Genomic DNA, 4,204 nt, shown 5'->3' on the forward strand with positions numbered 1-4,204 from the left:
TCTAAATTTCTCTGTAATTCAGGTTGAGTACTCTGGTGCTGTCTTTTGTTACAGGTATTTAGACAAGCATGAGCAGGCCAGGAAAGGGCCCTCCCTCATCCACTAGGAATGTCAGGTGATGGTTCGACAATGATCACTTTGCCTCTCTAAAAGTGATAAATTGTCAGCGTGTGCCAGGGAGAGGCCATTTACTGATACCCCACAGCTGTTGCAGTAAAGTGTTCATTGAATGCAGGCGCCTGGGAGAAGTAACTTCCTGGGCATGTGCATGAAGAGACAAAATGGCGGAGTATGACCCACTCGGGGCACTCCACAGGAAAAGGGAAGAAAGCCTCAGACCGGCATGTGCACAGCTTCTTAAACACACTGCCTGTGCTCACTTCCCAAGGCTAAGGAGGACACCGTGCATCTGGGAAATAATGCCCCCCCTGAGGGAAGAATCATGGGAAAGGGGCAAGCCTACAAAGTCCTGGGGTCAAGGTTAAACACTGCACCTGACCTCAGTGCCCACTTGGGACTCTTCCAAGCGTACTTTGTTTTCTTCCCTGTTCTAAAGCCTTTTTAAATAAACTTCCACTCCTGCTCTGAAACTTGTCCCGGTCTCCTCTTCTGCCTTATGCCCCTCAGTTGAATTCTTTCTTTTGAGGAGGCAAGAACTAAGGTTGCTGCAGAGCTCTACAGACTCACCGCCGGTTACTTGGATACCTTCCACTGGTAACATACTTGGGGCCATGAGACTTGGATATTTGCCACCACAACATTTTAATTCCCTAACACCTTATTCTTATTACACATTAATTACCCTGTTGAAATTTATTTTTTTATACTTTCTAACTGGCTCTTTAAATAGTCTCTTTCTACTTGGTTTGTGTTCGCTTTCTGTTCTATTGCTCTTATTTTGTCTCTTTGGATGCCACTCTCTCTTTTGGAAGACTGCTCTCTCACTTGCACTTTCTTTGGGATGAATGCTTTCTTTAGTGAGTTTGTGGAGCTCAGACTTCCATCACTGGGACTGTCTTTCTTCACGTGCTTTGGAATTTTAGTTTCCAGGCTTGTCTCAAGTTGTTTCATGTGTATGTTCACCTGTGCTTAATTTTCCCCTCCCTGTCTGCACACAGATATAATAGCACCCACTTATTTGCAGTTTCACTTCTGTGTTTTCAGTTACCTTTGGTCTGTGAACCCAAAATAACTCAGTCATATCTCAGTCAATTTAGAAAGTTTATTTTGCCAAGGTTAAGGACGCACCAGTGACTCAGCCTCAGGAGGTCCTGATAACATGTGTCCAAGGTGTTTGGGGTACAGCTTGCTTTTATACATTTTAGGGAGACATAATACATCAATCAATACATGTAAGATTTACACTGATTTGATCTGGAAGGGCGGGACAACTCGAAGGTGGGAGGGGGGACTTCCAGGTCGTAGATAGATGTAAGCATATTTTAATTGGCAATTGGTTGAAAGAGTTATTATCAGTAGAACAGAATGTCTGGGTTAAGATAAGGGGTTGTGGAGACCAAGGTTTTATCATGCAGATGAAGCCTCCAGGTAGCAGGCTTCAGAGAGAATAGGTTGTACATGTTTCTTATCAGACTTAAAGTCTGTGTTGATGTTCATGCTGGAAGGGTAGAATGAGGTTAGGTCCAACCCCCTCTTCCATCATGGCCTGAACTAGATTTTCAGGTTAACTCTGGAATGCCCTTGGCCAAGAGGAGAGGTCCACTCAGATGATTGGGGGCCTTAAAGTTTTATTTTTTGTTTATAGGTCTACGGTGGCCCAGAAATATTAAATAAAAAATTCCAGAAATAAACAATCATAAGTTTTAAATTCTTTCTGAATAGCATGATGAAATCTCTCACCATCCTTCTCATCCTGCCCAGGACAAAAATCCTCCCTATGTCCAGTGGATCCACACTGTCTACACTCCCTGCCTGGTAGTCACATAGCAGCCATCTCAGTTATCAGATTGACTGTTGTGGTATCACAGTCCTTATATTCAAGTCACCCTTGTTTTACTTAAGAACGGCCCCAAAATGCAAAGGTAGTGATGCTGGCATATTATCATAATTGTTGTATTATTAGTTATTGCTGTTAACTCTTTCTGTGCCTAGTTTATAAATTAAACTTTACCATAGGTACATATATAAGAGAAAACATAGTACATAGAAGGTTTGGTGCAACCTGTGGTTTCAGTGTTCACTGGGGGCTTTGGGACACATCTTCCTTGGAGAAAGGAGACTACAGTGCTACTAAGGCTTCAGGGGCCCATTAAGGCCTAGTTCAGAACTCGGTTCATATCAGCTCTTCAGCCCTGTCGCTGCAGGGACACACGATGGTAAGTGAGCCTCACTGGTCCCTGCTCACAGAGGTCTCCTCCAGTCTATGCTGCTCAGCAGGAATGGGTCTCCCATCTGATTCTGAGGTCTGAGTCTTGACTCTACTAAACACAGTGTGTTTGGGTCCCATTTCTGCTTCACAGGAATGCGTATCCCATTTTAGTGAGGTTATGCTCTTGTAATACATTTTTGTAAATTCACTACTCGTCTTTACCTGAAGTAGAACAAGGAGAATCCCATGGGGAAGGCACCTGACTCAATGTGTTTTTCTGACCAATCACTTCCTTTCTTTGGTGCTTACAAGACATGCTTGAAACTAGGTAATTCCAAGCTAACTTTCCAGAGGTCCCTGTCCTGACATCTAACAGCAACAGCCTTAGCCAGAGTCAGCCAGATGATCAGTTTTAGAAATTGAACCCAATAGAGACAGCCCTGGGGGATCCTGCCTTACATTTGCACCTGTACTTCAATTATAATTAAATTGTTCATCTGGTTGTTTGCTTCACTTACATGTTAAGAAAAACAAGACTCATTCTGTCTCAGTGACTTGAAAGTTTGGTTTGCTACTGTAAGCAGAAAAAAAAATAGGTGTGATTAGTGATTTCCAGTTTCATTGGAAACTGAATATGTTTTTTGTTTTGTTTTGTTTTGTTTTTGAGATGGAGTCTCACTCTGTCGCCAGGCTGGAGTGCAGTGGCGCAATCTCGGCTCATGGCAACCTCCACCTCCCAGGTTCAAGTGATTCTCCTGCCTCAGCCTCCCGAGTAGCTGGAACTACTCAGGCACCCGCCACCATGCCCGGCTAATTGTTTGTATTTTTAGTAGAGACAGGGTTTCACTGTGTTATCCAGGATGGTCTTGATCTCTTGACCTCATGATCCACCCGCCTCGGCCTCCCAAAGTGCTGGGATTACAGGCGTGAGCCACCGCACCCAGCCGGAAACTGAATAGGTATTACAAGGAAGGAACAGTCTCTGTTTTCCTGAACTTCCTCCCGTTCAAGTTAAACTGGAGAAGATCATGCCAGGAGAAAAGTGAGTATTTCTTCTTTAAATGATCATAGTGAAAGCTTCCTGTCTTTGTGTTAAGACTGTTTACATCACAGAATGAGTAAATGTTAGAAAATTGAAAGGACACTGGGATATTTATGGAAATTAGCATTCACTTGAGACATTAAAATGAGGATGAAATATTTATATTTTCTACTCAGCTTATAAATAGAGTATTTCCCTGTTGAGATTTCTCCCTGCTGTTATAATGCTAATCTTTTTATTCAAATGTTCACAGACTCTCCATTTTCAAGATGAGTGATGTGGGTTGGGCCTGAGTCCTGGTGTTTCCTTGGGTGGAGGTCCTCCCTTGTCATCAAGTTCAGAAGTGAAATAACAACAAATGCTCTGGCATTTCGGTGGCCTCATCCTTTGTACTGGATTGCCTTTCTCTCTTGTTTTCAGAACCTCCATGAACATAGGATTTGAAGTATCTCTTAACCTTAGGAAAGTCTGTGACGTTCATAGCATTCATTGTGGCAAAACTTGTAGATACTCAAAATCTACTCTGTATGTCAGTTCAAGTCACACTTTTATGAACAATAACAGTAGCAATATTTGGAATAAGAACTATTTTAAATAAATGTTCATCAATTGTCTTAGACAATGTTAAGAATGTGTGGTATGCAAATAATTCCTAAAGATGTCAATACATTCTGCCCCAAACTAAAATAAAAATGTATTCATGCACCATTGAGCTTGTGGGCAGAGACTTTGGGGCTAGAAATGAACTGGTCTGTTCCTCACGGTAATCACTGCAGGTGCCCATTGGTGCATCTGGGTGTGAGAATGGACGGGAGTGACACTTCTCTGGAGGC

The 4,204-nt window shown here is 42.6% G+C and overlaps 2 annotated features.

Moving 5' to 3' along the window:
• Positions 846 to 905: an enhancer, noted in NCBI's record as "active region_22326". NCBI's record gives its function as "activates an Ori minimal core promoter by ATAC-STARR-seq in GM12878 lymphoblastoid cells {active_cell/tissue: GM12878}" and the evidence as "EXISTENCE:reporter gene assay evidence [ECO:0000049][PMID:35858748]".
• Positions 1,056 to 1,195: an enhancer, noted in NCBI's record as "active region_22327". NCBI's record gives its function as "activates an Ori minimal core promoter by ATAC-STARR-seq in GM12878 lymphoblastoid cells {active_cell/tissue: GM12878}" and the evidence as "EXISTENCE:reporter gene assay evidence [ECO:0000049][PMID:35858748]".

Source organism: Homo sapiens, chromosome 5 (genome assembly GCF_000001405.40).
Source record: "Homo sapiens chromosome 5, GRCh38.p14 Primary Assembly".
Taxonomy (NCBI): Eukaryota; Metazoa; Chordata; class Mammalia; order Primates; family Hominidae; genus Homo; species Homo sapiens.